Source organism: Homo sapiens, chromosome 20 (genome assembly GCF_000001405.40).
Source record: "Homo sapiens chromosome 20, GRCh38.p14 Primary Assembly".
Classification (NCBI taxonomy): Eukaryota; Metazoa; Chordata; class Mammalia; order Primates; family Hominidae; genus Homo; species Homo sapiens.
In genome coordinates, this window is record NC_000020.11 from 60,548,544 (window position 1) to 60,572,505 (window position 23,962).

The 23,962-nt window shown below is 44.3% G+C and overlaps 1 long non-coding RNA gene and 1 other non-coding gene across 3 annotated transcripts; both read left to right on the forward strand.

Moving 5' to 3' along the window:
• Positions 1-740: 740 nt before the first annotated feature.
• On the forward strand, positions 741-7,117 carry LOC124904945 (uncharacterized). 2 transcript variants are annotated; one of them, XR_007067688.1, is made up of 3 exons: positions 741-2,029; positions 2,695-2,821; positions 6,242-7,117. It is a non-coding gene; the product is annotated as an uncharacterized LOC124904945 (long non-coding RNA). The 2 variants fall into 2 exon arrangements; XR_007067687.1 differs by lacking the exon at positions 6,242-7,117 and having other exon boundaries at positions 2,695-3,583.
• Positions 7,118-16,018: 8,901 nt separating this feature from the next.
• MIR548AG2 (microRNA 548ag-2) lies at positions 16,019-16,082 on the forward strand. Its single transcript, NR_039653.1, has one exon. It is a non-coding gene; the product is annotated as a microRNA 548ag-2 (primary transcript).
• Positions 16,083-23,962: the final 7,880 nt, after the last annotated feature.

Sequence of the window (23,962 nt, forward strand, 5' to 3'; positions counted from 1 at the left end):
TTCATTAATGTCCCTTTCTTTTAGATTGAAAAACTCTCTTTAGCATTTCTTACAGGGCAGGTCTGGTGTTGATAAAAATCCCTCAGTTTTTGTTTGTTGGGGAAAGTCTTTATTTCTCCTTCATGTCTGAAGTATATTTTTGCTGGATATACAATTCTAGGATAAAAGTTTCTTTCTTTTTCCCTTTAGCACTTTATGTTATGCCATTCTATCCTGGTTTGCATGTTTGAAGCTCCATTTTGTAGTATTTTTTTCTTTTCTTTTGCTGCTTTTAGGATCTTTTTAAATTATTTACCCTTGGAAATTTGATTATTGAATGTCTTGAGGTAGTCTTCTTTGGGTTAAATCCTGGTTTTCTATAATCTTCATATTCTTAAATATTGATATCTTTCTCTAGGTTTGGGAATTTTTTGTTGTTATCCCTTTTAATAAAATTTCCATCCCTATATCTCCCTACCTCCTCTTTAAGGCCAATAATTCTTATATTTGCCCTTTTGAGGCTATTTCCTAGATCTTGTAGGTGTGCTTTACTCTTTTTTCTTTTTTGTTCTCTGACTATATATTTTCTAATAGCCTATCTTCCAGCTCATTAATTCTTTTTTCTGCTTGATCAATTCTGTTCTAAAGAGATTGTAATGCATTCTTCAGTATGTCAATTACATTTTTCAACTCCAGAATTTCTGTTTGATTCTTTTTAATTATTTTAATATCTTTGTTAAATGTATCTGTTAGTGTTCTGAATTTCTTCTTTGTGTTATCTTGAATTTCACGTGTTTCCCCAATATGGCTATTTCGAAGTGTCTGTCTGAAAGCTCACATATCTCTGTCTCTCCAGGATTGGCCCCCGATGGCTTGTTTAGTTCATTTGTTGAGATCATGTTTTCCTGAATGATCTTGATGCTTGTGGATATTCACTGGTCTCTAGGCATTGAATAGTTAAGTATTTATTACAGTCTTCACAGTCTGCACTTGTTTGTACCTATCCTGCTTAGAAAGGCTTTCCAGGCATTTGAATGGAGTTGGGTGTTGTAATCGAAACTGCAGTTTGATCACTGCAGTCATATCTGCATTAGAGGGCACCCCAAGCTCAGCAACGCTGTGGCTCTTGCAGACTCATAGAAGTACCACCTTGGTGGTCTTAGACAAGATCTGGAAGAATTTTCTGGGTTACCAGGCAGAGACTCTTGTTCTCTTCCCTTACTTTCTTTCAAACAAACGGAGTCTCTCTGTGCCAAGCTGCCTGGAGCTGGGGCATGGGTGAAACAAGCCACCACTTCTTGACCTCTGTGACCACCATCTCTGGGACTGCACTGCATCAGACCTGAAGCCAGCATGGTACTGGGTCTCACCCAAGGCCCATAGTAACCATTGCCTGGCTACTGCTGATGTTTTCTCAAGGCCCTAGGGCTCTACAATCAGCATATGGGAAAGCCAGCCAGGCTTGTGTCCTCCCCTTCAGAACAGCAAGTCCCCCCTAGCCCTGGGTAGGTCCAGAAATGGCATCTGAGAGCCAGGGTCTGGAGTCAGAAACCTTAGGGATCTAACTTGCTGTATTATACTAAGGCTGAGCTGGCACATAAGCCACAATACAACTTCTTTCCTACTCTTTCCTCCTCTTTCCACAAGTTGAGAAGTCTCTCCCTATGGCCACCACCAGCCCAGGCCTATGGCAAACACTGCCTGGCTACACTGATGTTCACTCAAGGCCCAAGGACTCTTCAGTCAGCTTGTGATGAATGCTGCCAGGCCTGAGTCTCTTCCTTTAGGGCAGTGGGCTCAATCCTGGCCTTGAGTAGGTTCAGAAATGTCACCTACAAGCCAAGGCCTTGAATCAGGAACCCCCATGTCCCTGCTTAGTCCTCTACCCTACTGTGGCTGAGTTGGTACCTAAGCTGCATGACAAAGTCCCCTTTACTCTTTGCTCTCCTTTTCTCAGGCAGAAGAAGCCTCTTCTCACAGCAACCATAGCATGGGAACGTGTGGATCACATTTAACCCAGCATGTCTCTGAGTCTTACCCAAGGCTCACAGTGAGTACTACCTGGGTATCACTGCTGATTATTTAGGGCCCAAGGGTTCTCTTGTCAGCAGATGATGAATCTTTCCAGAACTGGATCTTTTCCTTCAAAGCAGCAGTTTTCATTCTGCCCCAGAGAGTATCTAGAAATCCTGTCATCCAGGAGCTAGGGCTTGGAAAGTGGGCCTCAGGAGTCTAGCCGGTGCCCTGTCCTACCATGACTGAGCTAGTATCCAAGTTTTAAGAAAAAGTCTTCTTTATTCTTCCCTCTCCTCTCCTCAAGTGGAGGAAAGGAGCCTCTCCTGAAGCTGTGAGCTATGCTGCCTGGGATGGAGAAGTACAAGCACTTCCTTAGCCACCCTGGCTGGTGTCTCACTAGGTCACGTGTACCCCAACTTCACTGGCTCTGAGCCCAGCATAGCACCAAGACTTGCCCAGGAATTGCCGTCCTTGTGGCCTAGGTTGCCTTTCAAGTTTGTTTCGAACCCCAGATCAGGTTAGCTGTCAGGAACTCAGATTCTCACTGCTAGGACGATGATTTCCCTCTCACTAAGGCTAGTCTAAATGCTTTATCCATGACTGCTGGCCGAGTTCTGCCCATGTTGCTTTCCACTGAGCCAGGAGAACACTGAGGTCCAACATAAAGTCCTACAATCACTGCACTCTCTCTCTCCCAAGCACACAGATTCTGTCTCTGCGCCACACAGCCACTGCTGGGGGATGGAGGAGGGATGCTGTCAGCAATTCAAGACTGTAATTTCTACCCTCTTCAGTGCCTTTTTCTGTGATACACAGTTAAAATCAGGTACTATGATCACTCACTTGAGTTTTAGTTCTTATGAAGATGATATTTTTTGTGAATAGTTGTTCAATCTGATGTTCCTATGAGGAGGAGGATTGATGGAGGCTTCTATTCAACCGCCTTGCTTTCCCTCTCCCTAAATCTATTTTAAACATTTTATATTTCCATGTCTGTTGTAAATATGACCTTTCTTTGGTCACATTTTGTAACTGTTTTGGTCAATACATGGTAGAACTATTAATTTTTATTTTTCACTTTTGTAACTCAATATATTAGCGGACACTAGTTATTTTTATACTGTGGTTTTACTGGCCTTTTAAGATGCACAATGTGATCTGCAAAACTAATTTAATCTTCTATTCCTGATAATTGTACCATATTGATTTTTTTTTTATTTTATTGTAAGGGATAGATTTTCCAAATGCTGTAAGGTAGTAGTAGTAACAATGGGCATCATAGCTTTCCAGTTCATGTTCGAACTGAAAACATGGCACAATATGGCACAGATCAATCCAGGCCTAAAATTGGAAGTCAGATATGGCATCAACTGGCTGTGCATCAAGATTTAAGTATAGAGTATTATTTCCATTTTATTTGTAGTAACTGGAAATAGGGAACAATCAATATCAGATAACAATGGTTTGATTAAATTGTTGTGTAGCCATAAGATGAAAGTTTTTGTAGTCACTGTAAGTATGGCTTTCAAAGAATTTGTCATGGCACAGGTAAAATTTCTAGATTTGCAAGAAAAATTGAAATGTGAGCTATGACATAAGACCTTGAGTTCTAATCCTGTCCAGTCCTCAACAGCAGTCCACTTAACCCTCTGTGACTCAGTTTCCTTAACCCTCAGTTTCCTCATTTGTTAAAAGGGGATAATAATACTGTGTATAGTCTATGGTTTTCACAGCTATAAAATAACACACTGTGGGTATACCTGACACATAGTAGATGGTCATTAAATCATTAGTTGATAACTATTCTTACCATCCTGTAATATGCTTCAGGTCTATGACAGAAAATGCAGTAACCTGGAAATTGAATTTTGTTTTTCTTATTGGTGGACTTTGAGGCAATTCCAAATATTCTCCTTACATTTTCTTCAGTATTTTCCACAATGTAGCCTTATTTTTAAAAAAATATAATCTGAAAAATAAATAAAAGCAAAAGCAGATACTTTTACTGAGTGAAGGCTCTATGTCAGGAGGGGTCATGGGAGAAGAAGGAGATGGTTTTGAGTCAGAGGAAGGGGCTGGGACAAGGGGCAGAGTGCAGAGTGGAGAGGGTGAGGGAGACGTACAGTGTGGATGTTGAGGCTTTATTCACTGGATGGCCTGAGACTCAGCTTCCTGGCTTCAGGCACCCAATCCTGCACAGGGTGGGCAAGTCCAGCAGTTGAGCTCCAGAGGTCAGCAGGACTTCAAGGCACAGGTGGAGCTGAGCAGGGGTGTGATTAAAGCCCCAGATCTGGATGCCATGCCCCAGGCTTAGCATGGAGAGTATGGAGCTGCAGGATTCCAACTCCCCAAAAGCCAATAGATGGATATGCTGGATGATAATATTATCTGAATCTCTGTATTTATCCCATTGCTGACATTTTGTCTGTGACAGAATGCTTTATGTTCTTTTGAGATTTTTTTTGCATCCTTATTTGTCTTTTTCCTCTATTTATCTTCCCGTAGATGATTTCAGAAGTTTTTTCCCCTCTAAGAGTCATTCTGCTTTATTTTCACATTTCCATTAATTATTTATCAAATATATACTTTTATACAACCAGTTTCTTCATTTCTATTTGAATAGTCTTGTTTCTTTATAGCATGTTTTTCAGTTTTGCAGAATACTGCATTCTAAAAGGATATACCAAGTAAATTCACACATATCCAGTATTTATCCTGTTTCATCAGATATGGTTGCTTTGGAAACACAGGAAATGACGTGGCAGATGCATCAGAAATCTATTCGGCATCATTGCACTTAATGATTCAGATGCTGTGAAAAATGAGTTGCACTGATTGCAAAACCCAATCAACACATACAGCGTTGTTTTAACTGTATTTCTAAAATACTTAGTTCTTTTCGCGGTAATGATAAAACATTTTTATTGAAGAAAATATGTGGTGCAAAAAATAAATAAGAAAAAGTCGCTTATTATCCCAACATTCAAAGATAACCACTTTCATTATTTTATAAATTTGCTTTTTCCCATTCAAAAATACTTTGTTTGCGTAAATATGTGTTTGCAATTTTTACATAATCAGAAAGCATCCACAGTCTTTGAGAGATCTGTGTGCCAGATTGAATGAATGTTTCATACAGAGTTTCAGTCATAGAAATTTTGCTAGATCTTAAACTGGTTCAAAGAGAGTCCCCACCCCCTGCTCCTGAATAGCAGCTAGAGCAGTGCCTGGCTGATGGTCAGGATTCAGGAAATGTTTGATGGAAGAATGAATGAATGAACCATGACACTTAAATCAGTAAAAGCCATGCATGCTAGATATGATCAGTAATTTGTCAGTGCTGCCTTAAAAAGAGAGGCAACCCTTCAGAAAAAGCTGGCCTTTATCTTAGGAGAAAACATTAAGGTTAGTGAACAATGCTCGGACTTCCATAAAAGGCAGAGACAAAGGTTCTGAGGGTACCTCTGCTCCTGAATTTATGTCAGAGACGCCTGTGAGAACACTGAGAACAATGGTCTGGCTACTTATTGGGATGAGGAGTCCGAAAATATGAAGAACAAAATACAAAGTAATATCTCAATAAATTATCTGGCCTCAGCAGTTCTCCAAGCCAATTTGGAATCTGTTTGTTTGAAGCTACGGGGAACATCACAGCTTCTAAACTTAGGAAACAGTGCTGAGTTTTGGAAGCGGATCCGTCTTGACAGGCACGGTCCCTGCCTTGCTGGGATTCCAAAGAAGAATTGATGAAGTTGACAACTCACTTGGCCATTTGCTCCTGGAGGAGCTGGTCCTGCTGTACGGAGAAGATGAGCAAATGTAGACTACATTTGCTCAGAAGGAGGCTGCCGTGTGAAGGCTTTGGGGTTAGACTGACCGGGGTCACATTCAGTGATGTGTGACTTTGGACACATCTCTTGACACAGTCATACCTCAATATTCCCATCCATGAGACAGGATGTGCCCTTACGGCTCAGGCAGGATTCACGGGTGACGTATGGTTTGTAGGGCACATAGCACATTCTTCAAAGACCAGTTCCTTCCTTCCCCTGAAACTCCTCTGTTTCACTTCGCAGTGGTGGCTGGGTTAGGGAAACTTCCTCGAGAGCTTGTGCTTTGTGATTTAAACCATGAACTCTTGCAGACCTTCCAAATTGTTTTGCTTTGCAGGTACAACAAGATAGATAGATTAGGTTTAATTTTGTTTACAGCAAATAATGTGATGACTTTTTTTTTTTTTTTACAGTGGGTTTCAAAGCCACTTCAAACTGCCTGCAAATGGTGGACCCCAATCAAAGAGTTAGTGAAGTTTTTCCTTAAAATAAGACTCCCAACACATCCCTCACTCTGTGTGGGGATTAGGAGTCTTAGTAGAAACTGCGTATGACATTCAGCCAGCCACGCTAGATTCAGAGAGATTTCACAGCAGTTGAACTCTCTCCTCCTGACATCTATGCCTGAAAGCACAGATATCCTAGCTGGTTAAAGGGCAGTATGCATTGCTTCTTCCAGGAAAAGGCCAACACCTCCCACTGTTGAAAGTATCTTCACACTCTCAATTCATCCTAATGCAAACTAGGACGGTGGCAGAGAATGCCAACAGCCCGGCCGTCTTCCTGGAAAACTGGTCTGCATGGAAGGAGCATGATCTCCCCTCTTGTCAGAAGGGCTCATGGAGGTCAAAGGTACTTGGAGTTTGTGAGGTTCCCATGATCCTGTGTAAAGCAGGATGCGAGTTCATTCCCAGTAAACCAAGCCTGAAGGCATTCTGTGCCCTGTGTCTCCCTGCCAAGACAAGAGAGCTGAAGCCACGTGGTGGTATGGGTGGGCTGCTGGCCATGGCTGAACCAGTTGTCATCAGTGCCATGGTCTTCATCATTGTCTTCGAAGCAGTCGTTCATGTAACCAACTCTACATCAGATACTCTAGTGTTTTGCAAAATGCTTGGGCTCGAAAGCCCAACTCCTGGTTAGAGTCCTGCCTTTGTCACCTGCTGACTATGTGACCTCAGGCAAGCTACTTACCCTCTCTGTGCAGCAATGCACTCATCTGCAAAATGGGCAAAGTAATAGTAAGTACTTAATTGGGCTGCTATGATGGAATAAATGATACGAAGCCCACAGAACATTTAAAAAGAGGCAATACACTAAACAGTGATGATTTCTATAATCTCACACAATCTTATAATAGCCCCATGAGTTAAAGGCTATTTTTATTCCCATTTAAAAGGTACGTGCTTAACACACTTGATTCTAGGGACTGGGGATCCACTTAAGAATCACACCAACAGTCTTTGTCCTCATGGACTTTTCATTCTAATCCATGAGAACAATCATCAACAGGAAGGCAGATGAGCTCATGGCACAATTTCAGCTCTTAAGAGGTGCCAGGAAGGAAGGTGGGGCAGGCGGTCTCCTGGGGAGTCACAGGAAGGGGGACCCATCCAACAGTGCAGTCAGAGGAGGAATCTGAGGGTCATCCATGGGGCTATCAGCAACGAGTGAGCTCCAGGTGACAGGAGTGACAGAGGAAACAGCACATCCTCTGTCCAGGTCAGGGGGGCCCTGGGGCTGAGCTTGGGGACCCAGGGGAGAGTCTTGGAAAATAAATGGGGACACAGGCCAGGAGCAGATCAGAGAGTTCCCACCCAGGCCACAGCATGCAGAGTTTATTCTGTGAGTGATGGGAAGCCACTGGAGGGTTTGAGCCATGGTCAGGGGTGTTAAAAAGAACCCCGTGTTTTCTTGGGAATGGAGGGCCTGAGTGATGCCTGCACCAATAATGGTGGACCCTGGAGAGGGAAGAAAGACTCAGGATTGAAGACACATCTTAGCTGCAGAACTGAAAGGTCTTGGCCTTTACTGGATGCAGACAGGAAGGAAAGGTGAGGCTTCCAGAGTCTTCCCAGCTTTTTGCCTTCAGCAGGTGAAACACTTCTGATCTCCTCCACGATGGCCTTTGCTCTTGTTAGAGGTTTCAGCCACAATCCAGGATTGTGTGAAAGAGTTGATATATATGTAACAAAACATTTTGTAATGCCCCTTCTCTATCCTGAGATGAAATCTATAGGTAATGCTCAATACCTATTACGTGTAATTTAAAAAAAAAAAATTAAAGCCCTAACTGTGATGTAAGGAAGAAATGAAAGGAACATAATAGGTATTCAATATTTAAATGCTTGGTATGAGGGCATGAGAATTTTAAAATGCACCCCCCCCATATCAAAATCACCTCCCTGGGATGTAACACCCCACTGGGAACGGTTGATGCCAATGAAGGATAAAACAGCAAAGCAGGAAACCCAGGGGGGTGAGTACCGCATCTGATCACATTCAGGGCAATGAAAGCCATTGCAGCAGCAGCTTCCACAGCTCTGGGTTGCCCAGGCCTCCCTGCTCACTTGCTTTAGTGGAGGAATGGCTGCCTCCGACCAATTAGTGTATTGAACGTGTTCTGTGCCCCGCAGGATGTGTGGATGACAGGCATGGCCGTGGCTGAGAGCATTGGAGAGGTTTGTTCACAGCGCTGCTCTCAACCTGCATCCTCTCCTCAACTGAATGTGGAGGGTTGAAGAGTAGAATGTAGCTCTTCCCACCACCCTGGAGCCTCCCTTGTGTAACAGGGAGCTCCCACATTTTCAAGATAGAAAGACACAGTCCTCTAATGCCCACCCATGCTGGGGGCTTCCCCTGTGTTCTGTCAGCTGGGTCACAGAGAGACTCAGTCAACAAGACTCCATCCAAAACATCCACCCGGGTCTCTGCCCACTCAGGAACATTGTTCCCCTGATTTTCTCAGAAAACCTTAACTTTTTGGGTTTCTTTTTTAAAACCTTGTATCAAACATCCCTTTTGTTCTCAGTCAATTCACATGTGTTTATTCAGGTTCCCGTGTTGTCTTGTTGATTATGTTCTGCTTAGCAAATGTTTACTGAGTGCTTATTCTGGAGGAATAAGGCAAGCACGGACCCAGGAGCAAATAAGGAGATGTCTCCTCACTCAAGGGGGGTCACAATTCACAGGCCAATCCTGGCAGGAATGTGCAGCACAAGGAAGGATGGCTGAGCGCTGAGTGCCGGCCGGGCTCTCCAGGTACCAGCTCCCACATGGGATGTGCCTGTTCCTGTGAGCAGGTTTGCCCCCTTCCCATCCCGACACAGGATGGCAAGTCTTTTGGGGTTGGGATCAAGGAAGCAAGTGTTATTTTTATACATATATATATATGTATATATATATTTTTTTTTTTTTATTATACTTTAAGTTCTAGGGTACATGTGTACAACGTGCAGGTTTGTTACATATGTGTACATGTGCCATGTTGGTGTGCTGCACCCATTAAGTCGTCATTTACACTAGGTATATCTCCTAATGCTATCCCTCCCCGCTCCCCTAACCCCACAACAGGGCCCCAGTGTGTGATGTTCCCCTTCCTGTGTCCATGTGTTCTCATTGTTCAATTCCCACCTATGAGTGAGAACATGCAGTGTTTGTTTTTTTGTCCTTGCGATAGTTCAAGGAAGCAAGTTTTAAATGAAGTGGCCTTGCTCTTTCTTCCTCTCCCTCCCTCCCTCCCTTCCTGTTTTCCTTCCTTCCTCCTTCCTTTATTTTTTCCTTAGAAGCATAATTGAGTTTATCAGATTCTTCAGCTCATATCATCTTTACCAATTCATGAAAGTCTATTTTTATTTTATTATCTCTATCATCTAAGAACCCCGCCTCTGTCCCTCTTCTCCTTTTCAACACCCCCTCTAATGTGTTGGATGCATGCCCATAAACTGGCCATGCAGCCTTATCAAATATAGGGGATTATTGTGCTGGGGCATTGTGCTCTAAATCTCATTTTGTTTCTGATATTTTTCAATCAGCACAACATCTTAGAACAATACGACATTGCTGCTGCGTGCATATCTATTCTGCTGCTCCTAACTGCTGCATAGCATTGCCTGGTATATATCCTCTACATTACATAACCCCAAAAATGGATCTCTAGTTCACCTTCAATTCTCTAGCACCCCAAACAATGTGGACGGAGCACCTGTGTGACTTTTTAAGAACCTGTCTGTGACAGCCAGTTTACATGTGATCCCAGGACAGGGGACAAGGGAGCAAATTCCATCTCAACTGGAGCAGGTGGCCCGGAGGGAGCAGGCATGAATGTTGTTGCAGCTGCTTTCGCCTCATACTCATGCTATGCTGTGTCTGTTTACTTGTGTGATCCCTGCCCTCCCAAGATGAAAATGTAAAATTCCATGAGAACACTGACTTCAGTGGTTCACAGTGGATAAAGAAAGAAACTTCAATTCTTTAGAAAGCAGGGATCCCTCTAATAAGTGCCATTTTTAGGAGCTGAGCTCTAAATCTCATTTTGTTTCTTCAAAGAAATGCCCCAGTACAATAACCCCATATATTTGATAAGGCTGCATGACTTGTTTATGGGTATGCGTCCAACATATTAGAGGGGGTGATGAAAAGGAGAAAAGGAACAGAGGCGGAGTTCTTGGATGATAGAGATAATAAAAAAAGACTTTCGTTAATTGGCAAAGATGATATGGGCTGAAGAATCTGATAAACTAAGAGAATAAACATGAGAGGATCCTGGTGTGTTGCTCTGATCTCCAATGTCTATCTTTGAAGAAATGAAGGAAGAAATGCATGAGGGATCTGGGGAACACTTGTAGAGGAGGCGAAACCTTGAGAAAAGCCAGCTGCACTCCTGAGTCCACCTCCTTGGAAAGCATTCTTGGAGCTGACCTTGCCCTCCTTCACCCACACCCACCCACCCTGCAGCACAGAGCGCAGAGAGCCCCGTGGGCTGGCCTTGTGCAATCCTCTCTCCTTTGTGAGGAGGGGAGCCCCTGACCACCAGATCTTCTTCTGACACATCTCTTGTGACTCCAGCATAACCTCCCACCGAAGCACGGAGCCTTTGGGCCAGTTAGTGCCCCTGCACTTAGGGAATTTTAAAAGAGCTGTTTGCATGTGTTTTCCAGGTTGCCAGGAGCAAAGCTACTGAGGCCCTGAAGAGCTCATCAGGTGATGACAGCGCCTGCTGGGATGTCAGGGAAAAGAGGAGCTGGGGCCACTGGGCCTCTCTGACAAACAGAAAGCCAGGCCTGAAACCCGAGTAGCGTTTGTATCCACCTCCCTCAGTCCATGTGTGGCCGCCTGGCCGGCTGCTGTCTTAGTTCCTCCACGTGGCACTTGTTGAGCACCTGTCTCTGGCTGGAATGCCGGGTGCCAGAAGAAACTCTGCAAGTAAAACTCAACCATCCCAGGACACTGGAAAATCACCACTGTGATGGGCCAACTCTGGTTCCCAGTGACATTGTAAGTTGCTCCCGAATCGCCTTTTCCAAGGCTTAATCGGCTGAAGTCGATGTGCAGAAACTCATCAACAGAACTTTCAGAAAGGAGAAGCGAAAATGGGCTGCCCCGAAGATGAGGTCTTGCACCTCGCCAAGTGGCTCCTAAAAGGCCACTTATTGGAAGGATCCCTGTCTTCTAAAGAATTGAAATTTCTTGGCCGGGCATGTTGGCTCACGCCTGTAATCCCAGCAATTTGGGAGGCCAAAGCGGGTGGGTCACCTGAGGTCAGGAGTTCAAGACCAGCCTGGCCAACATGGTGAAACCCCATCTCTACTAAAAATACAAAAATTACCCGGGCATGCTGGCAGGCACCTGTAATCCTAGCTAAGGAGGCTGAGACAAGAGAATTGCTTGAATCTGGGAGGCGGAGGTTGCACTGAACCGAGATTGTGCCATTGCACTCCAGCCCGGGCTAAACTCTGTCTCAAAAAAAAAAAAAAAAAATTTATCCACTGTGAACAACCAAAGTCACCATTATCATGGAATTTTACATTTTTCATTTTGAGGGGGTGGGGCAGGGATCACACAACTAAACAGACACAGAATAAAAGGAGTATGACAGGAAAACGGCCGCAGCAAAAAGCTAAGCAGGATCCAATGCTAGAGGGTGACAGGCGGCCACTGTCCCAGGACGTCTAGGGAAGACTCCTTCAGAAAGGCGAGGTTGGAGCAGAGGCTGGGAGCTGAGAGAGTAAGCCACGAATCTAGGGCAAGATGCCCCAGAAAGGAGAAGAGATGTGCAAAGATTGGAATGTCAGGTACTGGAAGGAAGCCAACACCGCTCGACAGGATGAGGGAGAGGGGCCGGCAGGGCAGGGAGGGGTCAGGGGCAGCCAGATCACTGGGAGCCTGTGGACCATGGCTTGGGTGTCGGATAGGGTTTGATGAACAGCCCACTGAGGGTCCCGAGAAGAGGGTGATGCTGGACTAGCTGCTGAGTAGTGGGATGGCTGTAATAGCATGAGAACATTTCAGGGAGCTGTGGAAGCACAGGGCACAGATGATGGTAGCTCACACTAAGGTGGGGAGAGCAGTTGGATGTAGACGACTTTTGAGGATAAATCTGATTTCAAGAGAGGAGGAGATAGGATGTCTTCATTTCTGCAGAATCTGCTTTTAGAGACAAACAGCAAAACAAGGCCAGCTAGATGGTTCTGTAACTTGAAAGGTAAATCTCTGGATGCTGGGGTCCATGGCCCAGATCATCCCTTCAAGACCAAGCCCCTGATGTCCCTCTGCAGGGCTTCTGGCTGCTGTCAGCTGACAGCTATATTTCTCTAGGCATTGCACCTCCCCAAGACAATGGCCTCACCCTAGCCTATATCCCCTCCCCGGGACAACACAGGCTCAGTGGCTGGTCTACTCAGTGGTAAAAAGGCCCAGCCATGCTGCCTCAATTTGAATGAAAAAGAAGTGCCTTCCATCTCCAGGGTCCCCTTGGAGATTGGCGAGGCCTCCTGGGCAACTGCACTGCACTTTAGCTTCTCCCTTTGCCCAGCCCTTCTCCTCCACTGTCGGGTGTTGCTGAGAACACTCCCTGTGAACCTGCCACAGGAAAATATCCACCTCCCAGTCTGTTTTCCTGAAACCTGACTTCAGATATAATCAACTCCTCAGCGGCTACAATGCAGGTAGAGGCCCATCTAATTACATCTTCTGATGGAAGGTGTTGGTGGGGAGCAGGGGGAGATTCACATTTCAAATGGCAAAATCTAAAAAAAGAGGAAAAGCATCTCATAGCTATAAATGAATAAGAAGCACCTAAGATAAGTTTTCAGATGTGATTCAGTGGTAGAGAAGAACAAGCTGTAGAACTTTCTAGTACATGGCTAGCAGGGCTGAGTAAATAGGATGACTTGTAACAGAGCCAAAAGTGTTTGGCCATCACAAAGCTCTTTGACAAGATCTGAAGTCCAGATATTTGGCCACTCATTTCTGAGTCATGAAAATCCTAAATGTGGTTGAATGTTCCTGTCCTTTATCCCTGCTCCCAGGAGCATCTTCCTTGTTCCTTTTGTAGTATTCTTCAGGGACTGACTCTCCACCCCCGAAAAATGGTGTGCCCTGTATCACCAAACCATGTGGGCAGTGTGGCCTCATTGGGTCTGGGGGTCTTGTTGTCCTGTAAGTGGGCTGGGGAGCTCTTGGGAGACTGAACATGCCAAGCAAATGAGAGTCCTGCTGATCACAGTGGCATGGATGTCCCCAAATACTCGGTGGAGAGCAGGAAGAAGGAGTTGTTCATAGAGATGTTATTTTCAATAACAGAGAATAGAGGGGGGCAAGAGGACAGGTAAGAAGCACCTGTCAGTGACAAGGGATGGGAGAGCATGGGGAGAACACAGATATCAAGGAAAATCAAAGATCTGCAGGGAAAGCATTAATGCTGAAACCCAAAGCCGCCTCCTCCAGCTTGTGGCTCCCAGCAGAGAGCAGGTCAGTTTCACACCACTTTTCTTCTCTAAGCAGCAGTGATCACTGGTGCTAGAGCCCTTGACAATGGCTTGTCCAGGGGAGGCCCTGCCCTTGGCCTTAGACGAGACCCCCAAGTGCTATTTGGAAAGCTGGGGATTTGGGTTTCACATCCAGGAGAAAGGGCCCTGTTCAATGGCCATAGTTGGATTAATGCTTAGGGCTGTGGTGATGGAGGGGAGGAGCCAGCAGTGTGCCTGACAGAGCAAATCACCCGCCTCAAGGGATTCTGAAGGAAAGGAGAGAGCCGTTAAAGAAAGCACGGGCAGCATAGCCTGTGCTGGAGTCTCCTGGGATCCAGACCAGGAACACACATTTTTAACAAGATCCCCAGATGATTCTGGGGCACACCACGTTCGAGAACCGCTAGATGAAGGGCTCTCTCCCATCTTGTGAGTCTTCACCTCTTCCCATAAAAAACCGAGATTGTTTTGTTCTTCTCTCTCTGCTCTCCCTATTAGGATTACCTTAAGCCACGGATTTTTGTCATAATTTCTATCCAAGGTACACCACCCCTTTGAGAATTTAACCAACGAACGAAACCCCCAAATTCCATTTCAAATCTTTCTTATTTATTTGCTTCAGGAAGGTAGGCCCCAATTGGCCATTAAGAAAGTGTGGTGTCATTTACTTAACGGGTCCTCCGGATTTATCTAGCTGGCTTTCCAGTTAAATGCAACCAGAGGTTTTCATTCAATGTCACAGTACATTAAGCTAACAGTTTCATTTCTTCCCAGACCTAAAGGAACAATGTATTTATTAAAGCATTTTGATCCTTTGGAGACAGATTAATCAGAAGCTTGTGTCAGTTTTGTATGATAAAATGAGTCAATAAGCAGAAATGGGCATTGACATTACATAAACTGAACACGAGTGGTACAATGCATATTTGTGGTGTCACAGAGAAAAATTAGGAAAAATTTTGCAGTATTCCATTATCATTATTAAACGATTACATCTCAGTTTTCAGGCTGTGTGCAGGTGGGGGTGTGTTTGTTTGTATGTATTTGTTATGGGACAGATCTATTTTTTAAAAAAGAATAGTGGATGAATTTGAACATGGACTTTGGAACTAAAGGCTAATGCTGTAAGACGTTTCTCCTTAGCTTTGCCATGGCTTTGACGGCCACAGTTTCAGTCACAGTGTCAAAGCAACCACAGACAACACCTAAACAGATAGGTGAGGCTACTTTCCAATAAAACTTTATCATACTGAAAATAATAAGCAGTCAGCACATTGGCCTAGAGAAATGAAACAAACAAAAGAAGCTGACATCTGTTTGTCTCCAAAGGAACAATCTGGTTTTGGATCTCCTTATCACAAGTCTGTTTATTCACTGGCAGTCTATTTTCACCTTGGATTTTAGTATTTTTTAGTATTTTGAGTATTTCAGTATTTAGCATTTAGTATTAGTTCAACTTTCAGGAATTAATTCGGGAAATAGGTTTTTTGTGTTACACTTCTTGTAATTAGAGACTCTTCTGGGCAGATGTTTCATTCTAATGTACCCCTGTCCTTCTGGGAAATCATAGAGATGGTAGTTTACAGCCAACGGCTTCATAGTGGAGAACGGTCATTTGTTTTAAACACTAGTCAGTCCCTGACATTTTTCTCACTTTTTAAAAAATTAAACAATTTGAGTAAAATTTAATTGTGTTAAAATGGAGATTAGCATGATCATTTAATATAAGTAGGGAAAGGTCTTTTATTTTGACTAGGGAACTCTGAAATTCAATAAATGACAAAGCTAATTAGATACCAAGGGCGAGTGTCTGATTTGTTAATCCTGTAACTGAAATGAGACTTGCTGGGAACACTATCAAACTGGCGGTTTTGAACTTCCAAAAAGCGCATTCCTCCTGTTCCTAACTTAAGGAAAAACAAATTCAGACCGAGTGTTACTATAGAAAGCCGAATCTCTCTCTTGTTCTGCTAATAATGAATTATTATTCATGCTCGAAGCCAAAATTATTAACCTCTTAAATTATATGCATCAAAAGGAGATGACTCTATCTAAAACCAGGAACAAAATTAGATATGGGTGATAGTGTCTCTGGCTGTCTAATGACAACCCGCTCCCTTCCTAATTTAATTAGCCCACTCTCCGGAAGCAGGAATCACCAAGCTGAAGAGCTGTGTGTGAAGGCTTCTCCGTAAATGTGAGTCAAACAACGTATTCGGTTGGTGCAAAGGTAATTGTGGTTTCTGCCATTGAAAGTAAAGGCAAGAACCTCAATTACCTTTGCAGCGACCTAATACACGCCCACCATGGGTTTCCTCCTGGGGACACACAGCTGTTTAGCAGCCCAGCCTTCGCTTTTAGTTAGGAGCTCAGGGAAGGAAGTAGGAGAAGGCTGGGAGAAACAGAAAGAGAGAGTTTAATCCATCTGGAATTCAGGCAGCCCCTTCCCTTTCTATGGATAAACCACACTGGTCCTCCCTCTGCAGGTTGAGGCGGAATCTGTGCACCAACGAATAGTGACAACAAATATCTGGCTCGCAAAACGCTTTCACAGATATACTGTTGAAGGCCCATGAACACTTCATCCAGGAGTTATTATTGTGCCTAAGTTACAGAGGGAGAAAAAGAGGCTTAGAGAGTTTGGGGAGTTTTTGGGGGACCATAAAGAAAATCCCAGAAAATCTAACGCAGCTGGGTGCAAAGACACTGGGTACATTTTAATCACAATTGGGTTTGGCCAAGCGCTCCCTGGGTTCAAGTGTGCTGGTGACAATGACTTAACAGAGTCTGCCTGCTCATTTGCTTGTTTTCCAGGCAATTGCTTTCATGGTGTCAGCAGCTCTCACATCAGCGCTCTGGGCCTTTCTTTTTCCTCTTGGTTACAAGGCTGGATGCATTACTGTCCTGGACTAAATTGGAGTTGCTTAGCAAGCAGGAAGACAAGGGCGGGGAGGGTTCCTATCCAGCCAGCAGCTCTCAGTGCTTGCCAGAACACAGCACCAGCCTTTTAACCTGAGACGGTGTCGTTGTTGGAAGCCTTGGATTGAAGCCACTTCCAACAGCACACCATCTCCTGATCACAGGAAGCATCTGTGGGCTAAGGACTGAAGCCTCTTTGGCACAAAAGTCACAAAAATGCTCTCCAGTTATGATGTGCGAAAGTTCTATATTTTGTGCAATATAAAGCAACAGACATAGGAACAGGTTTACTGAGACACAATCTCTTTGAAGAACAAGTTCCTGAAAGAAAGCTGAAAGTTTGCCATCAAGCAAACCAGCAGAATTTGTGTTTTTATAGAAATTACATATCTGGGCAGAACCCGAGGAAGAGCAGCAAAGTCACTGCATCCCTTGGCTCCTCCCAACGGGGCTGGTTGGCAAATTAAAAACGAGATGAGGAAGGGTTGGGACACCACATACTCCATCTGTTCCTCACAGTGCAGGGCTAATATATGACCAGGCTTTGGTGGGAAAACAGCCCAGGCACACGCTGCCTGTCATGTCCCTCTGTGGGCAGAGGCCAACAAGGATCCAGACCTCTGGACTGGAAAGGCAGATGTGGAAGAAGTGGAAGAACTGTGACATCCTCCAGCGTTTTGTCCTACAGGGCTGGCTGTCTCTTTCCCCTGTTCAGTGCCCATGGATCAGACACAGGCTCTGTATTGACGACGCTGTGAGCACGTAGGCTTCATCATCATGTCAACAGGTCCCTCTTTCCTCAGCTTTTCTTCTTTATTTGCTGTAAGAGCATAATTAAAACAATAAAATGCCTCCTGGATATTTAATGATGTGACACCAACACTGGTGATACATGGTGTTACAGATACTTATTAGAGACCACACGCTTTACACCCCTTTCTTTATGTCATTGGATACTTGAAAGGGCCCTCTGAGGAAGAGGGCGTATCATAATCATAGGACTAACCCATAGGACCCAGTTAGTCTGGAACCTGTTTCCACCTTTTGCCGTGACATAATGACACATTGTCCCTTTGTGCTCTTAAAAGCACCCCAGTTTGAAAAACAACATGCATGGTTACCCTATTGTGGCCACACTTTGTGTGCCAGGAAGTTGAAGACCAGAGGGGATAATTGCCCAGAGATTCACAGGGTAAGAGGGGCCAGGCTTGCAGTTTAGCTCAGGGGTTCCTGGTGTCACAAGCAAGACCCTGAGCCGGGAATTGTGCTCCCCTGCATGTCCCATGAGGGCGTGTGAAGCAGGGTGGCTTGCAGACGATTGTAGACATCCAGGAAGGCCCACCTGCAGATGGCGAAAGACAAGCCAGAGGGTCCTGAGAATCCACATTTCAACAGAACTAAATAAAAAGCAAATGACAATTTTGAGAAATTGTGATAGCGTGCAAAACACGAGCAGCACCCACCTGCACGGCCTCATCCTTGCCGTCCCCCCATCTGGCTCTGCACTGGGCTCGGGGCTGGATTCAGCCATAGGGGAGCTACACCTGCTCAGACTACCAGCCAGGTGGAGAAATGGGGGGGAAAAGTGTTTTAAAGGCTGTTCCTCTTTCACAAAACACAAAGTCCTACTTAGGAGAAAATAAAACTTTTGATGGACTTCCTTAGGTTTCTTTTATGGTTTTGTCTTCTTTAATTTTGAATTGTGTATGGATGAGTGAGGGGTCCTGTGTTCTTTCCCTACAGTGCACATTCTGTAGGTCTTCATGAAACCCAACCTGTATCTCAGTGAAGGGAGAAAATCCTAACAAGAGGAATTTGTACTCCACAGAAGGTTGCGTCTGCGTCAACTCAAGTCAGTTGGTGAAGGCTCCTCAGCCCATCAACAGTGAGCATGGTAGAGCTCTGTGTGCCCCAGCTGCTCTGGCTCAGTCTGAGGACTGCTGATCCAATGGCCGCACTCAGCGGGACACGTAGCCGACCAAAGGGTGTGGAGGAGGCTCCCTCAGGGTGGGGCCCCAATGAGAAAGGCTATCCTTTAAGACAGGACACATAAAATAACAGAGTTATCAGTGGCAATGGGGCATCTTGCCTTGGAGTTTGTATGTTTGAGTCCATAACTGGCCTTTGAACAAGGCAGGGTCTCCTGCTTTAGATTGTACCTGCCTAATTCAAGACAAATCCAGCTGAGGTGTGTCAGGGCCTCCTGCTTCCCAGCTGGGGCAGTGACTACACAAATACAGGTTGCAGTTTGCCAACTTGTGCAAAACTATGTGACTTTCAACTACATTTTAACTAGGAGAAATTGGCAACGTTTTGAATTCTGTGCCTAAACCTGGAGTTGACTTACTGTTCCACTTGGCATTAACGCTGCATCATTCAAATGCATGGGAACACCTACTCTGAGAGACGCTATACATTTTTAAGGTGTTCTATCTGGAAATGTCAACACAGAACTACATGGATTTTCTCTAAGTAATTAATTTATTACCTTGACTATTGCTCAGGAAAAAGCAAACACTAGAAAGGAGCTGATTAAAAACAATTTCTTCTCAAGAAAACATTGAGAAGCCAGAAAGAGAACTCGATGCATTCCTTGAGCCACTAAGAACAATCCACATGATCTGTCAGACACTACCAGGACACCCCAAGTGTTTCCCAGGGAGGGTTTCTCTGGACAAGTCTGAAGGGCCTCTGGGGTGTCCACCATTGCTCTGACACATGCATATGTGATTTCCCGCAGGATCCCTGACATGCCACTCCTGTCTCAAGACCCCAGATGATAGACACAACTTCTTTAGCTGCTGCTTTCAGCTGAGCTCCAGGTCCACAAATCTAAGCTCATGTTAATTTGGAAACAGAATGTGTGATAGTTCATTTCCATAGGTCCACTCTGCTGGGCCGCAGCACCCAGATATTTGGTCAAAGGTTATTCTGTATGTTTCATGAGGGTGTTTTGAAGGGGATTAGTATTTAAATCGCTAGAGTTGGAGTAAAGCAGATATTACCCTCCATAATATGGGTGGGCCTAATCCAGTCAGTAGTGGCTTTCATAGAACAAAGTTTGGTGTCTACCCTGGGCAAGGAGGAATTCTGCCAGCAGATGGCCTTTGGCTCAAACTGCAAGTCTTTCCTGAGTCTCCAGCCTGCTGGCCTATTGTATAAGATTTTGGACTCTCTAAGCTTCCACAATTGAGTGAGACAATCCCTTAAAATACATTTCCCTGTCTCTCTCCCTCTCTTTCTTTCAAGGTAGAGTATGGCAAGAGGAAGGAGTTACCAACTTTGCAAAAAAAGTCAGGAAAGTCTCACATGAGTCTAGAATGTGCTTATTAGACAGGGAGGAAGACATCCCAAGCCAGGATACTGAGGCATGATTAGGAAGCTGTGAGACCTTTGGTGGTTGATAGGTGGGGAGAAGGTGGAAGAAATTGTAGAAGTTAAGGCATGAAAATCAGCTGAAGCAAGATCTTGGCAATCCTTATATGTAGAAGACAAACTCATCCTAATTTGCACTGGAGTTTTCTGTTTTTAGCCCTGAAAATCCCATGAACGAGAAGCCCCTTGTACCTGAAACTGTCTTGGTTTTAAAGCAGCATCCCACATCCCGGGCCCCTGTCCCCGATTCCTGGGGCACTTGGCCACCCCATCTCCATGTGATGTGTATTCAGTCAACAATCTTTATGAAGTACCTACTGTGTACAAGAAACTATGGATATAGGCCCAATCCCTGCTCTTTTGTTGCTGACATCTACAGACTTCTAAAATTATCTGTTTATGGGTGTATGGGAAAAATGAAAGGAATCCCATGGGGAGGAGAGTAGTGTGAGGTGAGGCAAAGACAAGTGCACTGCCTCTGAAGATCATGGCAAGGATTTAGGTTTTTATTCCCAAGGAACTAGGAAGACAAGAAGGGTGTTAAGCAGGGATGTGACGTAGATACTTATCAGTGTTGTGGGTGGGAGTGCTGCCCAGTGCCCCTGTCCCAGTAAGCAGGAGGGGAAAGGGCCCTTTGAGTGGCCTTTGCATGGAATGATGGGTGATGAGATCCACACTCACTTCCCCAGTGTAGGGAAGGCTGTGGGGAGGATGGAGAAGAGCGTCCTGGTGTGTGTGACATGGATGAACCCAAACCTGGAGGTGATGAGGCCCCGATCTCGGACTTGCTGGACCGGGGCTCTGAGCCAGCCAACCTTCTCGGGGCTTCATATATTCCACACAGAGGACAAGGCAATGGAGCCAAGCAGGCCTGGGTCTAATTCTAGCCTGGCCACCTCTTGCCTGTGTTGGTTCACATTTCTGACCCTCAGCATTCTCCCCTACCCCACAGCCCTGCTGAGAAGCCCAGACTAGTATATGTGGAGACCACCTACACAGCAGCTCTCCTTCTGCAATCCTTCAACACACCGCTGTTTTATCATCAGTAACAAAATGGCCCCTATGTGGCCTCTCACCACGTTCTTCTATGGCATTATCTGACATGAGGCTTCCAATACTTTGCTGAGTTTTAAACAGATGATTATCCTCATTTTGCAGGAGGGAGTGAAAACTGTGGCCCTTGGTAGGTAAGTATCTGTCTGGGTCTTGGGCGTAGCAAGATGGGAAGCCCCCAGTTTAGCTCTAACATCAAAGCCTGGGCACCTTTCCAGAGACTAACCATGTCTCATGATAGAATCCATGGAAATAATTTGCAGGGTTTCAGCTACACAGGGGATGAATCTCATTTTCTAGCCACCATAGGTTTTTCCCTGTGTGTGTGGAAAGATGCAAAGCCAACTGGAGCAAACCATCCATGCTGTACTGGGGCTGGAAGAGTTCTTCATGGCAATCAGTAGATTCAGGGCAGGGGACCCTGGCCCTACACAAAGCATTTCTTCAGAAACAACCTCCCTCTGAGTGTCTTTCTCAAAGGCAAAGGTTGGAAGGGCAAGAACCCACGTACTTACTACATCCCCTTTTTGCCTCTAAACATTCATGAGGACTTTTATTTAAAAGAATTTGGAATTGAAGGCAGGTATTCAACCCAAAATGTGTGCATGAATGCTCATAATAACACTATTCACAAGACCCAAAAGGTGGGAACCAAAGGGTTCATCACCTGATGAAGGGATCAACAGTGTGGTGTGTCGGTAGGACAGAATAATGGCCATGAACAGGAATAACGTCCCAGTGCATGCACATCATGGGTAAGCCTCGGAAACATCATGCTGAGTGCAGTAAGCTGGAGGCAAGGGGCCACATAATGCACGATTTCATTTATAGCAAATGTCCAGAATAGGCAAAGCTTTAGAGTCAGAGAGTAGATTAGTAGTTGCCAATGGCTAAGGTAGAGGGAGGATTAGGGAGTGACTGCTTAAGGGATACAGAGTTTCCGTTTAGGGTGATGAAAGTGTTCCGAAACTGAATAAACATGATCGTTGCACAACAATGGGAATGTACTAAATGTTTCTAATGGAAATTTTATATTATGTGTATTTTACCACAATGAAGATAAAAGAGTATTGGCCCGAGGTCCAGGGTAACTCTGAATATCCAAGGCCATTTTTTATGTATCTCTGAACTGGGTTGATTGCATAATTTAATTTTTAATTTTTGTTTTTCTTTACATTAAAAACCCATCTGTGAACCTCAGGCCTATTTTCCTTTGAAAATGACTAATTTCATATTTTATGCATGCACAATGAATGCTGATGAGTCTTCATTTGTCACCAGGCGCCTGTGACTGTCACAATGGTTCCCCTAATATACCTTGCAAAAGAGCCAATGGGATCACTAATAATGCTTGCACACAAAGGAGGCTCTTCCGCACGCCGCGTCCATCTGGCTTAGTGACCTCCTTTGTGCTGCAGGTGTGCCAGTGTGATTTATGCTCACACTTCATGCAGTCCTTTGCCAATCTAATTGCCTGGCCATTAAAGAGGATGAGAAAATTATGTAGACACCCAGACACATCCATCTCAGGATATATGGCCGATCAGCTGCTGGTGGCTAAAATAATGCAGATGCCTAATACCATTTTGAATATTAATATCCACCCCAACTTTCGGCAACATTATAATTTGGCAGTGCTCAGTGGCACTTCTGCCTTTCCAGCCAAATGACATTTGTCACACTCAAGTAGGAACAATTATTAATAATTTTCATTTCATTAGAAGCACTACAATAAAATGTCAACAGCCTTAAAAGTGCATCAGAAGTGTACAAATTAATTTTGATTTTCTGAAGTGTAATTACTTTTGTAAGTACCAGACTGTGTAATCACGTTAGGCGTTATTACTTGTGCAATCAATTATACTTAAATGCACTTATCTGTTTTCAAACACGATTTTCAGAGGTCACCTGTTGGTGGGGTTTTTTTTTTGAGATTATAATAGGAAGAGCCTATCATTCATATTGGACATGCAGTGACTAAAAGATAGGTAAGGCAGTGATAAGTTAAAATATAATAGCAAACGTTGTTTTAAAAGAGACCACTCCCTTCTTCCTATGAATTTTGGGCTTAATTGGTTCTACTTTAATTGTGGGTGGGGTATTACACACAGTGACTAAAAAATATTTTCACATGGGAAGAGAGTAGGGACGTAGTTCATATCTACTTTAGATTGTGGGTGTTAAAATCTTGGGTTCCCGTATCCGACTTTCTGCCTAGCTAGCCATGTACCATTGCTTGTGTACAATTTGTGAACCAAAAACTTGGGTTCCCGTATCTGACTTTCTGCCTAGCTAGCCGTGTACCATTGCCCCACGCCTTCAAGCTGCAGTCTGTTTCATTCCCATGCAGGTGATACAGTGCCCGCTTTACGGAGGCCATGGCCTTCTTTCCATCATTGGTTATTTCATCTTTATTGTGAAGCACAGTGCAGAGTAGATGCCTAATAAATATGTTTTGAATGAGTAAATAAGCGTTGTCATAAAAATTCAATGATAAGATGTAGATGTACTCATTAACTGTTAGCAAGTATTGTTGTTGTTAATCATCCCACTCAATCTAGTATTAATAATAATCATTAAAAGCTTAGAAAAATCAATGGATTCTCTTCATTTTGGCCAGGAGAAAGAGCAAACTCAATAAACCCATGGAAAGATTCTACCCACCACTAATCATTAAATACATGCAAAATAAAGGATGAAATGAATACTTTCACTGCCTAAATAGCCAAAAAAAAAAAAAAATCATTAACCTCCTGAGATGTCAAGGGGTGGGGACATGGGTACCTGTGCACACAGCTGGCAGCAGTGTAAATCAGCTCA